The sequence below is a fragment of the Homo sapiens genome, chromosome 4 (assembly GCF_000001405.40).
Source record: "Homo sapiens chromosome 4, GRCh38.p14 Primary Assembly".
In the NCBI taxonomy this organism is placed as follows: Eukaryota; Metazoa; Chordata; class Mammalia; order Primates; family Hominidae; genus Homo; species Homo sapiens.
The window spans coordinates 161,467,682-161,489,599 of NC_000004.12; the positions used below are offsets into that span (position 1 = coordinate 161,467,682).

The 21,918-nt window shown below is 34.1% G+C and overlaps 1 protein-coding gene across 4 annotated transcripts in view; it reads right to left on the reverse strand.

Annotated features, from left to right (window-relative positions):
• The window catches only part of FSTL5 (follistatin like 5), a 780,104-nt gene that overhangs the window by 83,785 nt on the left and 674,401 nt on the right, over positions 1-21,918 (reverse strand). For all 4 annotated transcript variants that reach the window (NM_001128428.3, NM_001128427.3, XM_011532126.1 and 1 more), the window contains one exon: positions 13,339-13,488. In NM_001128428.3, coding sequence (NP_001121900.1) covers positions 13,339-13,488 — 150 coding nt within the window. The remainder of the gene's footprint in view (positions 1-13,338; positions 13,489-21,918) is intronic.

The window sequence follows — 21,918 nt, forward strand, 5'->3', positions numbered from 1 at the left end:
TGAGGACTAAAATTCACATACTCCTAAGGTAATGTTAAGACAAATATAAGGGTGTGTTATTTCACCCAGCAGGTAAGAGAGTTATGGAACTCATTATCTAAAGAGGCGCACAGGCTGAAATTATACGTGGCTGCAAAAAAGAGAGCTTAGGTAAATTCAAAAATAGCAAAACTTACATTTTTTAAAAGATAAATGTATGTATTTTGGTAGCATATATATAAAGCTTGAGGTAGTTATCTACAGTCAACAACATGCCTCAAAAGTAGTTTATCTCTCAGAAAGAATACTACACAGATGTACCAGTATGGAAATTTTCATTCCATATACTCAGGAGATCACTAAATTTCTATAGAATAGTTTGTCCAGAATGGCCCACATAATTCAGTTTTTATTTCACTCTCCTTCTTTCTAGCAAGGTATTTAATAGCTCTCATAATTGAAAACCCTTTTTTATAATTGACAGGTACTAATCAACCCCATCATACAGTTCTCCAGAGCTGAGTGAGCGACCCCCACTACATACTACTGCCTCTGTGTTTTGCTTCAAGGATTAAGTGCCTACATTTTTTTTTTTTTTTTTACAATAGGAACATATTTGATATGTTGCTTTTGGTTCTGTTTTCCTAATGGAGGGCAGCTATAGAAAGTGAGGCAATAAGGCTGATAAAGGGTGGCATGGGACAGAATGTATCAAGAGAAGGTTAGGATTTGTCTTTGATAGTAGGATATCTGAGAATACACAGTGACTATTAGAAAAACCTGAATTATAGCAGCAGGTCTACACTGGCTTTTTAGATTGCTGCCCGCAAGCATATTCCTCAGGTTAGTTGAGAATGTACTGTTATTCCCAGAGCATGTGGAAAGAAAAAATGGGAAATCAACTGCTTAGTTAATGAAGATACACATTTTTAGATTAACAAGATTATTGTTTTTTGTTTCAGTATTCCTAAGTCAGTTCATTTGGTCAGTCATAAAATCATTTTTTCTTGATTTCTTCTTGTGTTTCATGTCATTAACTTATATTTTCTCTTTAATTTGGCCCCTCATATTCTTCTTAAATTTTACTAGCATGATTTTAACTTAATATTTTCTTAGTTGCTTTTATTATCTGTAAGACTGTGTGTATACCTTTTCTTTCATTCAATTCTGATAGTATTAATTGTGACTTTTGTTCTTGTTCTTTGCCAAAATTTCCAGATTTATCTATTTCATTAGTATTTTTTTCATTTTTTAAAACTTTGGTCGATAAATTTGACATGAAATTTACCATCTTAACCATTTTTAAGTGTGCTGAAATATGTTCATAATTCTGTGTAATCATCATCCCTATGAATCTCCATAATTCTTTTTACCTTGTAAAATGGAACCATTATAGTCATTAAACAACAATTCCTCAATTCTGCCTCTTCCTAGCCCTGGAAACTACTATTCTACTTTCAGTCTCTATTATTTTCACTACTCTAATTACCTCATATAAATGGAATCAGACAGTTTTTGTCTTATTATGACTGGCTTATTTCACTTATCATAATGTCCTCAGATTACACCCATGTTGTAGCATATTTCAGAATTTCTTTCCCTTGTAAGGCTGTATAATATTCCATTGCATTTATAAAGCATATTTTATCTATTCATCTGTCAACAGACACTTGAGTTACTTCCACATGATAATTCTACTTTTAATTTTTTAAATAACCACCAGTCTCTCAAAGCAGTTCCACCATTTTATATTCCCAACAACAACGCACAAGGGTTTCAATCTCTCCAACCCCGTGCCAAAACTTATTTTTTGTTTGATAGTAGCCATCCTAATGGGTATGAGGTGACATCTCATTGAGTTTTGACTTACATTTCCCTAATGATTACTTATATTGGTCATCTTTTTATATGCATATTGGCTATATGTATAACGTCTTTGAAAAATGTCTATTGAAGTTCTTTGCCCACTTTATTTATCTATTTTTTTTTTTTTTTGAAGCGGAGTCTCCCTCTGTTGCCCAGGCTGGAGTGCAGTGGTGCCATCTCGGCTCACTGGAAGCTCCGCCTCCCGGGTTCACGCCATTCTCCTGCCTCAGCCTCCTGAGTGGCTGGGACTACAGGCGCCCACCACCACGCCCGGCTACTTTTTGTTTGTTTGATTTTAGTAGAGACGGAGTTTCACCGTGTTAGCCAGGATGGTCTCAATCTCCTGACTTTGTGATCCACCCGCCTCAGCCTCCCAAAGTGCTGGGATTACATTTGCCACTTTTGAATCCAGTTTTGGTGATTTTTGTGGTTGAGTTTTAGGAGTTCTCTATATACATTGGATAGTAATCCCTTAACAGATATATGATTTGCATATATCTTCTTCTATTATGTGGGTTGTCCTTTTACTTTTCACTCTGTTAATATTATCTTTGAATGAATAATTTTTTAAAAAAATTATTAAGTCCAATTTATGTAATTTTTCTTTGATTGCTTGTGCCTTTGTTGTCACATCTTAGATATCCTTGCCAAATCCAATAGCATAAATTTTTTGCTCTTTCGTCTAACAGTTTAAATTTTGCACCTGAAATTTAGGTCTTTTATTAATTTTGTGTTCGTTTTTATTTATGGTGTTATGTAAGGTTCCAACTTCATTCTTTTGCATGTGGACATCCAGTTTTCCCAGCATCACTTGTAGAAAGACTGCCATTGCCCCACTGAATGGTCTTGGCACCCTTATAAAAAAAAATTGACTATATATGTTTATTTATGAACTTTCTATTCCATTCTATTATTCTGTATACCTGTCTTTATGCTAGTACTACACAGTTTTTGATTATTGTAGCCTTTGCAGTAAGTTTTGACACAAGAAAATGAGAGTACTCCAGCTTTGTTCTTCTTTTGCAAGAATATATTTGCTATTTAGGGTCCCTTAAGATTCCATATGAATTTTAAGATGAGCTTCTCTATTTCTGCAAAAAAAAAAAGTCTTAGGGATTTTGATAAGAATTTCACTGAATCTCTAGATTGCTTTGAGTACTACTGACATCTTAACAATATTGAGTCTTTCAATTCATGAACATAGGTTGTTTTCCCATTTATATATCTCCTTTAATTTCTTTCAGCAATATTTTGTAATTTCCCTTGTATGTCTTTCACCTTCTTTGTTAATCTCTACGTATTTTACTCTTTATTATGCTATGACAAGTTGAACTGTTTCCATAATTCTATTTGCAATTTGTTTATTATTAGTGTATAGAAATGCAACAGATTTATGCATGTTCCTTTCTATCCTGATACTTTATTGAATTCATTCATTAGTTCTAATAGTGTTTTGCGTAATTTTTAGGGTTTTCTACATGTAAGATCATGCCATCTGCAAATAATTTTGCTTATTCCTTTTTAACTTGGAAGGCTTTTATTCATCTTTCTAGCCTAATTGTTCTGGCTAGAAGCCAATACAATGTTAAGTAGAAGTGGCAAAAGTGGGCATCCTTGTCTTTTTCCTGAACTTAGAGGAGAAGCTCAATCTCTCATTGTTGAATTTTTTCCCACATGGGTTTTATATGTTGCCATAGTTTCTTCCCATTCCTAGTTTTTTGAGTATTTTTATTATGAAAGAGTGTTAAATTTTATCACATGCTTTTTTCGATCAATTGAGATGGTCATGTAATTTTTCTCTTTCATTTTGTTAAGTCTGTTTATTACAATGATCTGTTTTTATATGTTGAATCATCCTTGCATTCCAGGAATAAATCCTACTTGGTCATGGGTATGATGTAGTTATGTGCTGCTGAACTTGGTTCGCTAATATTTAGTTGTGTATTTTTACATCAGTGTTCATAAGGCATCTTGAGCTGTGGGTGTGTTTTCTTGTAGTGTTTTTGTCTGGCTTTAGTATCACAGCAATGCTTGCTTCATAGAATGGGTTAGGCAGAATTTACTTCCTTTAATATTTTTAGTAAGGTTTGAGAAATATTGGTGTTAGTTCTCTTTGAATGTTTGGTAAAATTCAGCAGTGACATCATCAGATTTACTGCTTTTCTTTGAGCTATTTTTGATTACTGATTCAATTTTCCTAGCATTTGTAAGTAAATTTATTTTTTTCTATTTTAATTTAGTCTTGCTGCATTTTGTGTTTCCATAAATTTGTCCATTTTATGTAGGTTATCCAATTTGACAACATACAATTGTTCATGGTACTCTCTTATAATCCTTTGCATTATCTATAGAATTGGTATAATAGTAATGGCCCCGCATTCATTTTAGATTTTATTAATTAAAATCTCTTTCTCTTATCCCATCTAGCTAATAGCTTGTCAATTTTCTTGATCTTTTTTTTTTTTTTTGAGACAGAGTCTCGCTCTGTTGCCCAGGCTGGAGTGCAGTGGCACGATCTTGGCTCACCACAAGCTCCACCTCCCGGGTTCACGCCATTCTCCTGCCTCAGCCTCCAGAGTAGCTGGGACTACAGGTGCTGGCCACCACGCCCGGCTAATTTTTTTGTATTTTTAATAGAGACAGAGTTTCACCGTGTTAGCCAGGATGATCTCGATCTCCTGACCTCGTGATCTGCCCGCCTTGGCCTCCCAAAGTGCTGGAATTGCAGGCGTGAGCCACCGCACCTGGCCATTTTCTTGATCTTTTTAAAGAACTAACTTTTGGTTTCAATAGTTTTCTCTATTCTCTATTTTATCTTTTGTCTAATTTTTATCAGTTCCTTCTTTCTGCTAGCTCTGACTTTAGCTCTTTTTCTTTTTCTTTCCGTTTTTTTAAGTTGTAAAGATAGGTTGTTGATTTGAGATATTTCTTGATTTTTTTAAATGTAAGTATTTATCATTCTAAATTCCACTCCCCTGGCATCCTTCAGCACTGGTTTTGCCATGTCCCATAAGTTTTGGTCTGTTGTGCTTTTATTTTCATTTGCCTCTAAGTATTTTCTAATTTTCCTCATGATTTTTTTAATCGATTGTTTAAGGTTGTTTTAATTTCCACAATTTAAAAAAAATTCCAATTTTACTTCTATTATGGATTTCTACTTCCACACCATTATGCTGAGATAAGACAATTTTTATTATATGTAACTTTTTTTTTTTTTTTGAGACGGAGTCTCACTCTTGCCAGGCTGGAGTGCAGCGGCATGATCTCGGCTCACTGCAACCTCTGCCTCCTGGGTTCAAGCAATTCTCCTGCCTCAGCCTCCTGAGTAGCTGGGATTACAGGAGTGTACCACCATGGCTGGCTAATTTTTGTATTTTTAGTAGAGACGGGGTTTCACCAGGTTGGCCAGGATCGTCTCGATCTCTTGATCTAGTGATCCACCTGCCTTGGCCTCCCAAAGTGCTGGGATTATAGCTATGAGCCACCGTGCCTGGCTGTGTCTAACTTTTAAAATCTATTGAGACTTAATTTCTGGCCTAACATATCATTTATCCTGGAAAATGTTCCATGAGCTCTTGAAAGAGAAAGATATATATGCTATTGTCATTGGATAGGGTATTCTGTATTTGTCTGTTAGATCTGTTGGTTTATTGTGATAAGTCCTCTACTCCCTTTATTATCTTCTGTCTGGTATTTCTATCAATTATTGACAGTGAGGAATTGATGCTTTCAGTTATCATTGTAGAACTCCCTATTTCTCAATTCTGTCAGCTTTTGCTTCATATGTTTTGATGATTTAGTATTAACTATATGAATGTTTATAATTTTTAAATCTGCTTGCTGTATTGCTGTATTGATTTTTTTATTAATAAATTATCTCCCTCTTTGTCTCTTGTAATTTTTTTTTTTTTTTTTCTGGGACAGAGTCCCACTCTGTCTCCCAGGCTGGAGTGCAGTGGCACAACCAAAGGTCACTGCAGCTTTGACTTCCAGGCTCAAGTGATGCTCCCACATCACTCAGCTTCCCAAGTATGTGGGACTACAGGTGCGTGTCACCACACCCAGCAAATTAAAAAATGTGTATATAGAGAGACACCATCTCACTATGTTGTCCAGGTAGGTCTTGAACTCCTGGGGCCACACACTGCCCCTGTCCTGGCCTCTCAAAGTGCTGGTTTTAGAAGTGTGAGCCACCACACCAGGCCCTTGTGACTTTTTAAGTCTATGGAGACATATATTAGTATAGTTACCTCTCCGTTTTGGTTACTCAGTGCATGGACTATCCTTTTCAATCCCTTATCTTTCAGACTTTTAGTGTGATTTTACCTAAAGTGAGCCTCTTGTAGATAGCATATAGTTTGATCCTGTTTTTAATCCATTCTGTCAATCTCTTTTGATTAAATAATGTAAGCCATTTATATTTAAAGTACTTAGTGATAAGAAGGCACTTCCTTTTGTTATTTTGCTACATGTCTTCTATATGCCTTACAGATTTCCCCTCTCATTTCCTGCATTATTGTCTTCATTCATGTTTAGTTATTTTTTTGTAATGAAATGTTTAAATTTCTCATTTTCTTTTGTCTATATTCTGCAGCTATTTTCTTTGTGGTTAGCATGGGGATTACACTTAATATCCTAAAGTTATAGCAGTTCTATAATACCTAAACTTCAATAACATAGAAAACTCTGCTCCTTTAATAGCTCCATTCTGATCTCTTTCGGTTATGTCACAAATTACATTTTTGTACACCACGTGCCAAAAAAATAAACAAATAATTATTTTAAACGCATTATTTTCTTAAATTATGTAGAAAACAAAAAGGGTTTTTGCAAATCAAAGTTACAATAATAATAACTTTTAGACTAATAATATTTATGCATTACTCTCATATCAGGTAAGAAACAAAAAGTGTAGTTACCAAATTTTATTATAATCATATTAGATTTTGTGATTGTCCATGTATTTGCTTTTATAAAGATCTGTATTTCTTCACATGACTTCAAGTTATTGTGTAGTGGTTTTTTTTTTTTTTGAGATGGGCGGAGTCTCGCTCTCTCGCTCAGGCTGGAGTGCAGTGGCAGGATCTCGGTTCACTGCAACCTCTGCCTCCCAGGTTCAAGTGATTCTCCTGCCTCAGCCACCTAAGTAGCTGGGACTACAGGCACCCGCCACCACGCCTGGCTAATTTTTCGTATTTTTGGTAGAGATGGGGTTCCACCATGTTGGCCAGGATGGTCTCAATCTCCTGACCTCATGATCCACCCACCTCAGCCTCCCAAAGTGCTGGGATTACAGGCATGAGTCACTGTGCTCGGCCTGTGTAGTGTTTTGGTTTATTCATATGTTTGTTTCATTTACTTTGCTGGGCTACGTTGAACATTTCTTACAGGACAAGTCTAATTATGGCAAGCAAACTCAGCTATTGTGTATCTGGGAATGTCTTAATTTCTACTTCGCTTTTGAAGGACAATTTTTGTGGGATATAGGATCCTTGATTGGCTTTTTTTTTTTTTTTTGTCTTGTAGTATGCCGAACGTATGGATCCACTGCCTTCTGGCCTCCATAGTTTCTAGTAATAAATCTGATAGCAATCTTATTGAGGATACACAGTATGTGTAGAGTTGTTTCCCTCTTGCTGCTTTCATAATTCTTTCTTTGGCTTTGGCTTTTGAAAGTATAATTCCAACATGTCTTGATGTTGGTCACTTTTGTTTATCTTAGTTGGACTTTGTTGATCTTCATGGATGCTTATATTCTTATTTTTCTTCAAATTTGGAAAGTTTTTAGCCATTATTTCTCCAAATATTCTGTTGGCCATTTCTCTCTCTCTTCTCCTTCTGGGACTGCCGCAGTGCATATGTTGGTACACTTGACTGAGTCTCACAGGTCCCTTAGACTTGGTTCACTCCTCTTCAGTTGTTTTTCTTTCCAGTCCTCAGACTCAATAATTCAATTGTCCTATCTTCAAGTTAGTGGATTTTTCTGTCTGCTGAAATCTGCTTTGGAATACCTCCAGTACATTTTTCATTTCAATTATTGTACTTTTCATCCTTCAAATTTTTAAATATTTTTTATTCTTTACTAACATTTCCATTTTGTTTTTACATTATTTCCTCAACTCCTTTTTATCTTTAGTACTTTGAGCATCTTTAAGATAGTTATTTTAATGTTTTTATCTAGTAAATTTGCCTCAGGTCTTGTTCAGGAATACATTCTGTTGATTCTGTTTTCCTTTTTTTTGAGAGGGAGTCTCACTCTGTTGCCCAGGCTGGAGTGCAGTGGCGCAATCTCAGCTCACTGCAAGCTCCGCTTCCTGGGTTCACACCATTCTCCTACCTCAGCCTCCCGAGTAGATGAGACTACAGTTGCCCACCACCACGCCCAGCTAATTTTTATTTTGTATTTTTAGTAGAGACGGGGTTCCACCGTGTTAGCGAGGATGGTCTTGATCTCCTGACCTCGTGATCCGCCCGCCTGGGCCTCCCAAAATGCTGGGATTACAGGTGATTCTGTTTTCTTTAAATGACCATACTTTCCTGTTTCTTTGTACACCTTGTGACTTTTTTTTTTTGAAGACTAAGCATTCAAATCTAATAATTGTGATAATTCTAGAGATCAGATTCTTCTCCTTCTTCAAGTTTGCTGGTTTTTTTTTTTTTTTGTTTGTTTGTTTTTTTGAGAAAGAGTTTTGCTCTTGTTGCCCAGGCTGGAGTGCAATGGTGCAATATCAGCTCACCGCAGGCTCTGCCTCCCGAGTTCAAGCGATTCTCCTGCCTCAGCCTCCCAAGTAGCCGGGATTACAGGCATGCGCCACCACGCCTGGCTAATTTTGTATTTTTAGTAGAGACACGGTTTCTCCATGTTGGTTAGGTTGGTCTCGAACTCCTGACCTCAGGTGACCCACCCACCTTGGCCTCCCAAAGTGTTAGGATTACAGGCGTGAGCCATATATACATGCCCAGCCACTGCTGTTTTTTTAATTGCAATTTTTGCTTTTGTTTATTATTGTAGGCCATCTCTGTTCCAAGGTTCAGCCTAAAGCAAACTTAAAGTCTTCTAAGGTATTTTTCTGAGCCTTTCTCTGGGCACCAACTGGTCACTTTCTAATTTTTCTCCTATATGCACTTGTTTTTGAATAAACTAGTATTTAATATTTGGTTCTAAAATGAAGAACTAGAGAAAAATGAAAGAGGAGTATAAACAGACACTAGGCCTTTAGATGTCCTAGAAGTCACTTTTGCCAAAGGAAGAGGAGCTTGCAACAATGAGCAAGGTGTGGCAACAATGTTCACCCACCTCTGTCTGTAGCTCTGAAATCAGAAGTGTCAATCAACAATCAAAGAACAGATACCCCAAATGTAAAGGACAGCATCATTTTTGCTTACCCTGGCTCCTGCATTCTGCATGCAAGCTTCTCCTGTTTTTGACAGTTAATATTTTAATAGGCCATATGTTTATCAATTCCCTTGCTCACTATCACATCAAATTTACAGCTAATTTTCCTGATTCCTGAAGTAAACAATTTGTTTCCATGTTGTTTCCATTTACATTGGTGATAAAGTATATGTTTTGTGTGTCTGACACAATAAACAAATCGTGCCCTAGTTTTATAATTATTTTTTAAATTTCCACTTAGTCTTTTTGTAATATTTTACTTTATTTTGATATTCATCATTTCTACTGAGAAATTTGCTACCATCTCATAGTAATTTATCTGCCTTTTTAAGATCTTCCTCTTTGAAGTGACACAACCAAAAGGCAAAAGGAAGATCTTAAAAAGGCAGATAAATTACTGCCTTTTTAAAGTATATATATTTTTTTCCATTTGAGTTTCATTGTCATCTTAAATCTGAGGGTTTACATAAGTGATTCTATATTGTTTTATATTATATAAATTATTAATTATTATAGTTTATTACACTTTATGCAATTATTATTCATTTTGACCAAAATATTAACTTCTCCCTTCTCTTTCTATTGTCTACTTTAGGAAATATTGTTGCATATATGTTAGTCCTGACTTTATATCTTAATTTTTCATTTATATTTTCCTTCTCTTTTCCTAAATACACTGCATTATTTGATTGACTCCATTATTTATAATTCAGGTCTATCTCTGAACTTATTTAATCATCCTCCTCTTTTATTTAAACTATTATTTAACATATACATATCAATTTTAATTTTAATAATTCACTTTTAATTTTTAGAAGATATATTTTGGCTTTTTCAATTTTAGGAACTTATTCAAGAAATACAGGGTTAGTATAAAACTTGAAAGTAAAATAATAAACAAAATGATCATCAATGTAGAAATATAGAAAAAGTCTCAATAGTGTATACATTTTGCCTCTCTCTAATTTCATCAGTAGATTAAATGTAGTATTAGTTAAAAACTTAGCAGGAATGTATAGAAATTCACTACTGATAGTCACATATGCTATTTTTGGAAGTTAAATATAATATAATAATTTGGAAAATGATGCACCTTGGATAGCTTCATATGCATACACACACATAAACTCACATGTAATATTCGGTCTCACTTTTCAACTCATATATGTATATACCAAAAGAATTGCATATTTTGCACACAGAAATAAAGTGTACAAAATTGTAGCAAGTAGTATTATTCACCATAGTACAAATTTAAATACACTTTAAATGTCTGTTAGCAGTAGAATGTATAAATACAATTCTGATACTCAAATATAGTAAATTATACTTATTGATGATAGTTCCTCTATAAATCATCACTAACACCAAATTACTGAATACTGATTTCATAAAGGAAGTGAAAAGTTATGATCTGTTGAGCTTTTGTTCATAATATTTTAATCAACCAATCAATACATCACCTTGCTTTATGTATGTATATGTCTAAAGACACCTTATTTAATATACATTGTTAACTGATGAAGATGGAACTCATGGCCAACAGCATTACAACTCATGCCTTAACAAAACTTACTGTTAGGTGCATCACAACCTTCTTGTACTTGGGAACTCTAGACAGCACTTCAACACTATGTGTGGAGGACATTTTAAACAGCAAAATTGTCAAAATCACCGATTTTTTTTTAAAGGTGTTAAATTGAACATGGAAAGAATATTCATTTATAGTATGAAAGTTGAAACAAGAAGGCAGAATATCTTCTTGTTCAAATACACAGAGGCATGTGTATATTTACTAATAAAAAAGTTTTCACATCTAGGTATGCCCACAAATGACCATAAAATGCCATGGTTATAAATAAATTTAAGCAAGTAGGTAACTACAAATACAGAATCCACAATGAGAATCAACTGTAATCAGTTTCTCCACAGCAATAAAAGAAAGAATTACCCTAGCAACAGCTACAAACAAAATGATCTTGCAATCATCATGTAAAGCACAAATAGCCAGATTCAGATTGTGAATATCATACATATCCATTTATGCTCAAAATCAGTCAGTAGTTACATGTGGTAATAGAAATCTACACAATAATTTCCTTCAAATAGGTAGTATCTAGAAGGAGTAATACAAATAATTATTATTATAATAACATGGTCATAAGGAGAATGCATTTGGACTGTGCCCCAATTTATCAACCTATAAAAATGTGTTTAGATACTAAGTTGAAAAATCTCCACAATCATGATTGTATCATATTATTATCTGCTTTAGCAATTTGTGAAGTCTTTTAAGTTCCCTTAGTATTTCATAATAATAGGCATTTTGAAAAATAATACAGTTTATGTAATTATTACCATATCACTTGAACATTTTATTATTAATATTTTCTATTAATTTTAAATGTTTCACCATTATTTGAAGGTGGAATTATATGAATAATAAGTGATGTTAGCTCTTTCCACTTTTGAACATCACTTAGATAATTTATATTCAGAGAGTATAGTTCTCTAGTTTGAAAACTCAATTTAAAAACCAGCCTGGTTATTTCTAAAATATATTTCCAATTTTAATCCACCAGCAAGGAGTTTTGATAATCCCAAAATGAATGCTTGTCATTTGTGTTGGCCTATGTTGCAGCTGAAATAAAAAGCCAATCTAGTCAAAATCCAACAGTCTCAAAAATCGGAAACAAAAGAAGTGAAATATACAGCAAAATTTTTTCTCACAATAAATATCAGACCATTAGATTGTATATTCATAAAAAATGTGTAACCTCAGGGCCTTAGGGTTTTCTATTAGAATAACTTCTTCCTTTTACTCATGGTTGTACTGCTCATTCTCATATTAGAAATTGAAACATTAGGCCAGTTATTCACTGTCAATTTATAAACCTGGAAGTGCCAGCTCTTCATAGAAGAAATGTTTTTCATGTTTGTATTTGTGAAATAAGAAACACAAAATAAGCATTTGTTAAATAAGTACAGAATATATGGATGAAATGCTACATGGGTGAGTGAATGGATGGATGGATGGATGGATGGATGAATGAATGGATCCATGTGAAGTTGTTAATCACTTTTAGAATGTGTAGTCCTACTTTGAACATCTTAACACTTTTTGTAGTGCTAGACAGAAATCAAAATTAGAGGGTTAATTTCAAACCAATATTGACTGAAAACATTCTCTGTAAATGAAAAGAATGTTTTGGGTCCAGTTTCCCCAGAAATTTTGATAGGAAACGGGCATATAGCACTTCCACATGCCAGGGTCTACTATAAATGCTTTACATGCATTATTCATCTAATTCTTAAAATAACTTCGTAAGATACATATATTTATTATTCCCATTTGACAGATTATACATATCTCATAAAGCTAGTTAACTTAATTTCCTCTGAGCTGAGAAGCAAAAGATGAAAAAAATTAAGGGAGTAGACTCTAATGCCAGACTGACTGGACACCAACCCTGTACTTCACCTTGGTTGTTGTGCAACTGATTTCAGGTAAAGAGCATGGGCTGCAGCAGTCAGTGGCTCAAACTTGAAGTATGAATTCAGAGAACTGTGAAAGCATGACGATGACAATGTTTATTAGAGATTGCTTTCTCTATCTCTAACCTACTTACATATTATTTATTTTACTACTACCTAGCAAATTCTACTAGGTTACTGTCATCTAGTGAAGCCTACAATTGTCTTGGTCTTTGTTAAGAATAAAATAAGGAGACCTCAATTCCGGTTCTGTAATGATAAGCAGGAATGTCTTAATTGGCCTCTGCCTGCTCCGACTGTGCCTTCCTTGCTCTAGACAGAATAAGCAGCTGGGAGGGAGATTTGTGTGGAGCTAGGCAGGTTAATATTACAAAGTGTTCATGGATCTAATTTTTGAAAACAAAAAAATTAAATTATCTCCTGAATTCATTAGGCTTAAGGAACAGAATGAGAGAAGAGTTTGCAGAAAATGCATAAATTTTCTAGTTATCCAAGTAAGGAAACACATTATCAGTGACAATCAAGTTACCTGGTAAAGATTACTACAATGATATAAATATTTTTTAAAGATTTACTTTTTAAAAAGTAGTAATTATTCATACCTGAACAACTTTTTGGGACTGCACATCAACAATAAGGACTCTGTCCAAAGTTGGCTGTGCAACATAAATGAACTTGTCTTTGACATTAACAGCTGATGCCCACACACACCTCTGAACTTCATCTCCCTCAGCTTTGGGACAGACTTCATCCTGTAATTTAGGAAAGAGAAAATGAAATTTATACCTTAAATTATAACACATGCCTGACAATATCATGGGTAAAATTAATGTTTCATACTTTACTACTTTCAGCATCAAATGTTAAATATATATATATAAAGTTTAATTAATAGAACATATTTCAGTTCATTAAATATGTATAGAAAGCAATGTAAATGAGATTCCTTTAAAATAAATTTTATGTTCTTAATTACTTATTTTTCTAGTAAAATGTAGTTCTTTCATTTTTTTTCCTACTTGGTTATAACTCAGCAACTTCAGAAAGTCCAACATCTTTCCTCAAATTTTCTCAGTCTCAAGGTTCTTTAACAGAATAAATGTCACACTAAAGTATATTCCGAGTTTTACACAACATTGGTGGCTGTCCTCATGGCAAATTCATAGTTTTGTTAAGAGTCATGTAATCTTGTGGAAAAGACTGCAGGGTTCTTTTAATTTGTAATAAATCAGAGGCTTAAATAAATTATAATAAGATAGTTATTCACAATGGTTATTTTATTTTTCAATCAAGGTCAAATTGTATAAAATCTTTCAATATTCCCAAAGCTTCTTATTCTGCTTCCTTACCTTAGAACTGCCTTCTGGTTGAAGACTGCATACTTTGTGTTAGATGACCATAAATGAGGCCAAGAAAGCCCCTCTATTTCCTCTTTTCCTTCATATTGTCAAAAAATGATTGTGGAGGAGATATGCAAGCCCTTGTGATTTATCCTGGGAGTCACAGCATAAGTAAAAGCGTATGAAATGTTTTCACGTTTTCTTTTATTCACTGTTCCATTACAGTTAGGAAAACCACTAATAAGAGAGACTGGTTAAAATGTACATAAAATGTATGTGCAGGCCGGGCGTGGTGGCTCACGCCTGTAATCCCAGCACTTTGGGAGGCCAAGGCAGATGGATCACGAGGTCAGGAGATCGATCCTGGCTAACATGGTGAAAACCCATCTCTACTAAAAATACAAAAAAATTAGCTGGGCGTGGTGGTGGGCACCTGTAGTCCCAGTTACTTGGGAGGCCGAGGCAGGAGAATGGTGTGAATCCAGGAGGCAGATCTTGCAGTGAGCCAAGATCGCGCCACTGCACTCCAGCCTGGGTGACAGAGCGAGACTCCGTCTCAAAAAAAAAAATTATGTGCAGTAAAAATGTTATTTACATAATAATAATGTAATGATAAACAATTATTCCAGTATTTCATTTGATTTTTTGTCTGACAATTAACAACGTCTAATTTCATTTATTTGTATACTCCAGTTGTTATCTCTAAGCTAATTTAGAACACTATTTTTTCTAATCTATATAAAACCATTAGTTTTTCAGCAGAGATACCATTCATATGTATTTAATACTCATAAGACAAAAATCAACCACACTTTCATCATCACTATCACCAAGCGTTTATTTTTAAAGATAATACTGATGGCAGATATACCACATTTGACATTGAGTAACCACATTGAACAACTAAAAATGTAACCTTTCTCAGGCTGCATAACCATCATAGGTGGTTTTCCTTTTTGCATAAAATTTGGAAATTAATGTAAATAGCAAAGCACTTTGCAATGAGACATCCAGTGTGTGGCCTGCTGTTTATGTTCTCCAAATGTCAGATCTAATTCAGGAAGGCTCTGGAGTGTCCATTAATTTTTAAGATCTGGTTCAGTATTGCATGGTTTAGGAACATGAAACAATAGTGTTCTCTTCTAAACAGCACAGATTGTTCTAAGCTTCTAAGACATAAGCGGAAAGTCTGAAAATGAAGCATGAGATGTATGGTGTTTCAGGTAGTCCTGGAGTTATGAAATTAATTCTATGTACCATGGCCATTACAGGTGACTACTCGGGAGGTCAACCTGAGTAAAGTCCTTGGCACTCTTAAGGAGGCAGCCCAAAGGCAGAAGTCTGTCTTCACTACATGCTTAGAATGCAGTATTACACTTTCATTCACCAATTCCTACTGACACACTGTTTTCTAAGTCAACCTTTTCTTCAGAAATATACTGAATGTCAAGGACAAGAATCTATTTTGCGAGAAACAAACACTCGATAAAATATGTACTTGAGAGGCATGAAGAAGTGGGAAAAAAGTGGGAACTAAGGTTGGTGAAAGGCTCTGAATACAGGGAAATTGTTTACAAATTCTTCGCCATTGCGTAAAACCTGCCAAAGTAATGAAAAGTGTGAGTGACCTGACAAATAACTGTCAGCCAAACAACTGCTGAAACACGAAAGATTTCCACCCCTTTGTTTGCTACAGAACTATTCAACAGTAAAATAAACTGCTCTGCTGGAAATTATTTTCTGTTTGGATGCTGTCCCTATAAGACATCCTTGACCAGACTTACAAGCATTTTTACAAAGCCATTAAAAGTTTCCTGACAGTCATCCTGGATTTTCTTTGCTTTGGTTTATGCTATTATTTCTGATTATATTATATTATTTCTCACTTTACAATAGCACTCTTTTATTTTCTCAGATTAACATTGATTTCTATGGAAGAAAAATAGTAGAGGAATGTTTTTAAGCATGAATTAGAGATTTAATGGGCCAAAAAGGAGACACAGAATCCAGAGATGAAAAATAAGATTAAGATAATACATACTGATGAAGAAAGCTGCCAGGGATTATATCAAAGAGTATTATTAAATCGCTTTTACAGAAATGTATACTAACATTTAGAGTGAACAGAATAAATAAGATATTAAACTAATGGAGATGAGAGTCCTGGAAAAGACAATTCTAATTTATAATTAGAATTTATTTCTTTTGGATCTTTTCCATATTTAATCACATATTTCCTACATATGTATTATACTTTCCCAAAATGTTAAGGAGTACAAGTTATATCACTACTGATGGTATAAATTTTAATTAGCAATTTAAATAATGTTACTCATATCTGATTTGCTAAGCCAAAGTAAATCAAACAGAATCATATATACACTTGTCTTCTACTAGGATGTTGCCATTTTCATTTATTAGACTAATTACCTATTAAAAATACTTTGCCCTAAAATCTTTAAATTCCAATCTTTCCTTCCTTCTTTTTCTTATTCTCCTTCTCAGGTCATCCGGCATCATTCCTAAAGACAGATATTTCTCACAAACATGTCTATTCTCCTTGCTTTCACCTCAATAAGTTGCTGTCAGGACTACCTCCTCTCATCCTTCTATCTAAAAGATGTGTCCACTACTCCTTACTTTCAGAAATATCTGCCCTCAATTTTTCTTATAATTTTAACTATTCAAGTATTCAAACATTCACATTGCCCCATAAATTTAAGAAACACTTCATAAAACAGTTTCAATTGAATTAATATTTCCATTTCAATCATCCATCTAATTATCTTCAGACTTTTGAGCAAGCTTTCTGGAACATTACTTCCATTTCCCAACCTTTCGCTCTAAACTAACCATGCTTCACATTGGCTTTCATGACATCATCTCTTTTAAAAGATATATTTTCAAGGTCACCAGTGGCCTCAGAATTTCTAATTATTATCCTTTATTTCTCATTGGAAAGCATTTATTGAGAGCTTACTATGTGAAGAATATTGTGCAAAGCTATGTTTGAAAATTAAAAACATGAATAGGAGAGAACGCTTGCTTTCAAGTTGCCTGTAATTTCTGCCGCATTTAGCTGTTTTAGACACTTGATTTGTCATAAAAGGTTCTTTCATTCTTGCAAGGCAGAGATTGGCAAATAATGGTCCCCCAGGCCAAATTTGGCCCACTGCCTAATTTGATATGATCCAGAAACTAGGAATGTTTTCTTATCTTTTAATGGTTGGAAAAAAATAAGAAAAAGGAGTACAATTTCATGACAAGTAAACATTATATGAGATTCAAATTTACAGAAATGAAGGTGTTGTAACCCAACTACAACTATTCATTTAAATATTATGGCATCTTTCATGTTATAATGACAGACATATGAACTGAAAAGTCTAAGATATTTACTTACTACCTGGCCATTTGCAGAAAAAAAGTGTTGCTGATCCCATGTTAGTGTACATTCTGACCTTAATTATCATTTTTGTCCTATTATTTAAATTATTTCTGCCTGTGGCAGCTCCTTTATCTTCAGTTCCCTGGATGTGGCTTCAGAAAAGCCAAGGCTCAGACTTTAGTTTTCTGCTGTAATTCTTTTACATTAAATTCCTCTGAAAACTCATCCATTCTGATTGCCTAATTACTATCATGGTCAGGTAACAACCAGACACTAATCTATGGCTTTGTCATTCACCAGGCTTTCCTCCGCTGTCACCTTCTAGGAAAATTGTTGAACAGGCAGTTTCAAAGAGAGAGATAATATAGAACAAAAAAGTATACTATCTTAAAGGAAGCATTAAAGTTGATCCAAAACTTAATGAAATAAATAAACCAAAGAAAGAATGAAATATTTGCATACGTGAACACGAAGAAAGTGATTTGTATTACAAAAGTTTAAAAAAACTGAGTAGTTCTATACAACAGGAGACTATTGAATAGTAACATAACAAAGTAAAATTCATAATAAAAATATTCCAAACATATATTGAACATAAGTATAGTTTATATGTCAAATATCTTGTCTTTTAGAAAAAAAAGAGTAAACGTATGGACTTTGGAAGATGTGAAACTAAAGCACTGAAAGAGCCATTAATTAAATGCTAATGAGGCCGGGCGCAGCAGCTTACACCTGTAATCACAGCACTTTGGGAGGCCAAGGCAGGTGGATCACTTGAGTTCAGGAGTTCAAGACCAGCCTAGCCAACATGGTGAAACCCCATCTCTACCAAAAATGGAAATACAAAAATTAGCCAGGCACGGTGGTGCACGCCTGTAATCCCAGGCACTCAGGAGGCTGAGGCAGGAGAATGGCTTGAACCCAGGAGGCAGAGGTTGCAGTGAGCCGAGATCGCAGCACTGCAGTACAGCCTTGGCGACAGAGTAAGACTCCGTCTCAAAAAAAAAAAAAAAAAAAAAAGTAAATATCTGGTTCTCTGCGTAATTTGGATTACAATGCATTCTGTAATTTATGTGAATAAAAACAAACTGTCGCTGGTATTATGAAGAACACAGAAATACAAATGTGATAAATAAGGTGGCCTAACATGTATACATCCAACTTGGGTTCCAAAATAGGGAGCCTTGGAGATTCACCCATGTTTCTTAGGCAGACACTGCTAGACAAGTACTGAAAGAAAACAGATGTTGAGACAAAGGAGGGGAGAGAGGGTTTGGTGTCTTAATATATCATTAAATAAAGGCATGTAAGTCTGAAAACTTGTGGAAACACTGCAGGCCTGGGTCTCTCACTGATCTAGTTAGTAGTTATGAAAAATAAACATATTTTAGTAGTTTTGCATTGTTTTACTTTTATGCTTCTCTACCAATCAGGTTCCTAAGACAGGCAGAGAGTCCCTACCCACTTGTTGTAACTGAAAATTGAATTGGGATGTTCTCTGGGCTGCCAATGTGTGTAAATTAACCACTCTCTCTGCTCCTTCCTGCCACAAATAATGTATAAGATTGCATCATAGGAAATACAACCGTCAACACAGTCTTCTGTTTTCTTCAGAGTTTCTTTTAATTACTCTTTCCTAGTGCCCCCTCTTTTGTAAAAAAATAATTAATACATTTTGGTATGAATTTTAATTAATTAATTACAAATGTATAACTTTTATATCCATTGTTTATCAACAAATGTCCTGTCCATTAGCTAGAGCACTCTACTTAATATTTCATGAAAAGAAAAGATTTTCCACAGCTATTGAAAAGCACCCCAAAATACTTTGTCAAATTATTTTCAATCTATATTTGGCAGCCAAATTTCCAACACCTACATAATTCATTCCTAACTTTGAGGTGTTTCACTGATTTTTTTCTTGTCTGAATTTTCACAGAATTTTTATTTTGTGACATATAATTTGGCAATGAATCATATATTATATTTCCAATTAAAATGTTAGCCTTTGCTATTCCAGTATTTCTACATTTCCCAAACATAATGCTGAAGGTGCAATATTTGCTTAGTAAATACGTGTTTAAATATCACTTATAATAGCCAAAAAGAAAAAATAGTCAAGAAGTGGTGTATGTTACTCAATCACGATGTTAAACACTATGCAATGTCATGCAGAATCATTGAGAAACTGAATTCTAGAGTAGTACTAATCAAAATGTGGTCTGTAAACTGCTGCCAGTTGGCATACAATTTGCTACCAAGCTGAGGATTCCATAGAAATTGAAAATAACCATTTAGAAACTTTTATAGCAATTTGACATTGCCATAATATCCCTGTATGTGATCAGTAGACCTATCTACTTTAACAGTATTTAAACCAGTTTGGGTATTGTCAAATTTGCCTGGAGGATTTCATGTAGTGAAAACTACCTACTGGTTTTACAAGAGAAAAACAGAATGAGCAAAAATCAGTGATTTTTTTTTCTCCCACAGAGTTTAGGAAGCACTGATTTCATGCTTTTTTATTCTAGCGCTCTCTCTCTCTTTCAGTATTTCTTTCTTTTAAGTATGTATTTTTAACCGAACCTGTCACAATCTGAGTCTATTGCTGTAAATTTTAAAAGTGAATAATAAAATACTTGGAGATATAATGTTCAGTTTATCAAATGCAAGGAATATAAATAATTATTCTGAATGAGGATTTATTCAGTTTGTCATAAATCAAGGCAAATACAACACAGTTACTTTTGTACTGAATTAGAATATTCAGGTTTAGATTCCTAGGATATATTTACAGTCATGTAGAAATATTTATCTCTATACACACATGATCAAGTCTGAGCTATTTGTGAATATGCTAGATATAAAGTTCCCTTCAATATTGCTTTGCAATATTGGAAAAAAATCTTACAAAAATACATTAAATGATTTGGTAGCATTGAATAGCCTCCAAATTTGACCATTTTTTAAAGCACTGAGGATAAAATACTTTCATAAGTTTTAACTGAGATTACTGCTTATAACCAAAGCAATACTTTTTTTCTAAACTGAGATATATTAAATTTATCCCATTCAATTTCCGATTTCATTTATAAATATCATAAGTAGTCTTTCTCATATTAGTCAGAACATAGGTAGTCATGGTAACGTGGGGGCTCTATTTGCCTAATTTGTGCCACATTGACACACTGTTAGGTAGCATGGTTTTGCTTTAGGATATCAAAGGTCCAAAGGCTACATTACAGAAATTTTTATGCTTTCTTTTAATATATTATGTCTTTCAGCTATACAATAAAAACAAAGCTTATGACACTATGCTATCATAAGCTGAGCATTGTTTTCTCTTTATAAATAGTGTATTAGAGAGGTTAAAAAAAACAGGCTTTGAGGACAAAGAGACCTCAATGTAGTGTCCAAGGGTGCACTTATATTATCTGTGCAAGTAGACCTGTTGAGGCTTGTTAACTCATTGGTAAATTGGGTATAATGATATTACCTATCACATGGCGTTATTGTGAGAAGTAAATAAAATCATATTTGAAAAGGTGAAGTGATCAATAAAAGTTACCACTTATTTTCATCTAGGAAATTATCGATGTACTACATTTGACAAAAATTATAACAGTCTACATGTTTTTGATGCAAACTTTTTTTTAAATTCTACCAAATGTTTTGGAAGGAAGTTTGCTGTGCATGTTCAAGAGATTCAGAGAGCTACTTTAAATGTGGCATGATTATTGCATATAGGGCAAGGAGAATTTTATTCTCTCTATCTGGCGTTTGGCAGTCCCGTGACTGAGCAAATCACTTGATCTTTCTCATTTCTTTACCTGAAAATCGAGAGGATTAAATCAGAGGTTTGTCAATTTTTTTGATGAAAAAAATTATTTGAATTATTTTAACTCTGCTTAAATGTAAAATGTTATAGTGGTTTTTAAAAATATTGAATTAGATGAGAAAAGCTGGTTTAAAAAGACACAACTGTAGGGTGTTAAATTTCAAATGCTTACAGAACATAAAAACCAAATTCTAGATGCTTCTTGAATGCAGGACTAGATGATTGCTTTCCTGGCTTTTACAGTTACTGTAAAGGAGCTGAAATCCTGGCTAGGGGGAAGGTCCAGGGGCCATTAGACACTGAGAACAGGAGAGGCAGGCACTTAATGTCTGTTGGGAAAGGTAAACATTTGAATAGTAGGGAAAGCAAATTAAATATCAAGAAAAGGTCTAGAGTTAGGTCCAAAAAATAGAAAATAGAGCTTGACAAAAAGGTGTTGGAATTGAAAGCCAATATTAAAGCATTAAAGAAATAGGACAACTACTAGATGTATATCAGTAATTGCAAATTGTATGAACAATGAGGGTTTATGGATGAAACTAATTTAAACCTAGTATGGATAAGTTGGAATCAAAGAATTAGATGTGTTTAAACTTTCCTCAGTTTTGAATTGTAT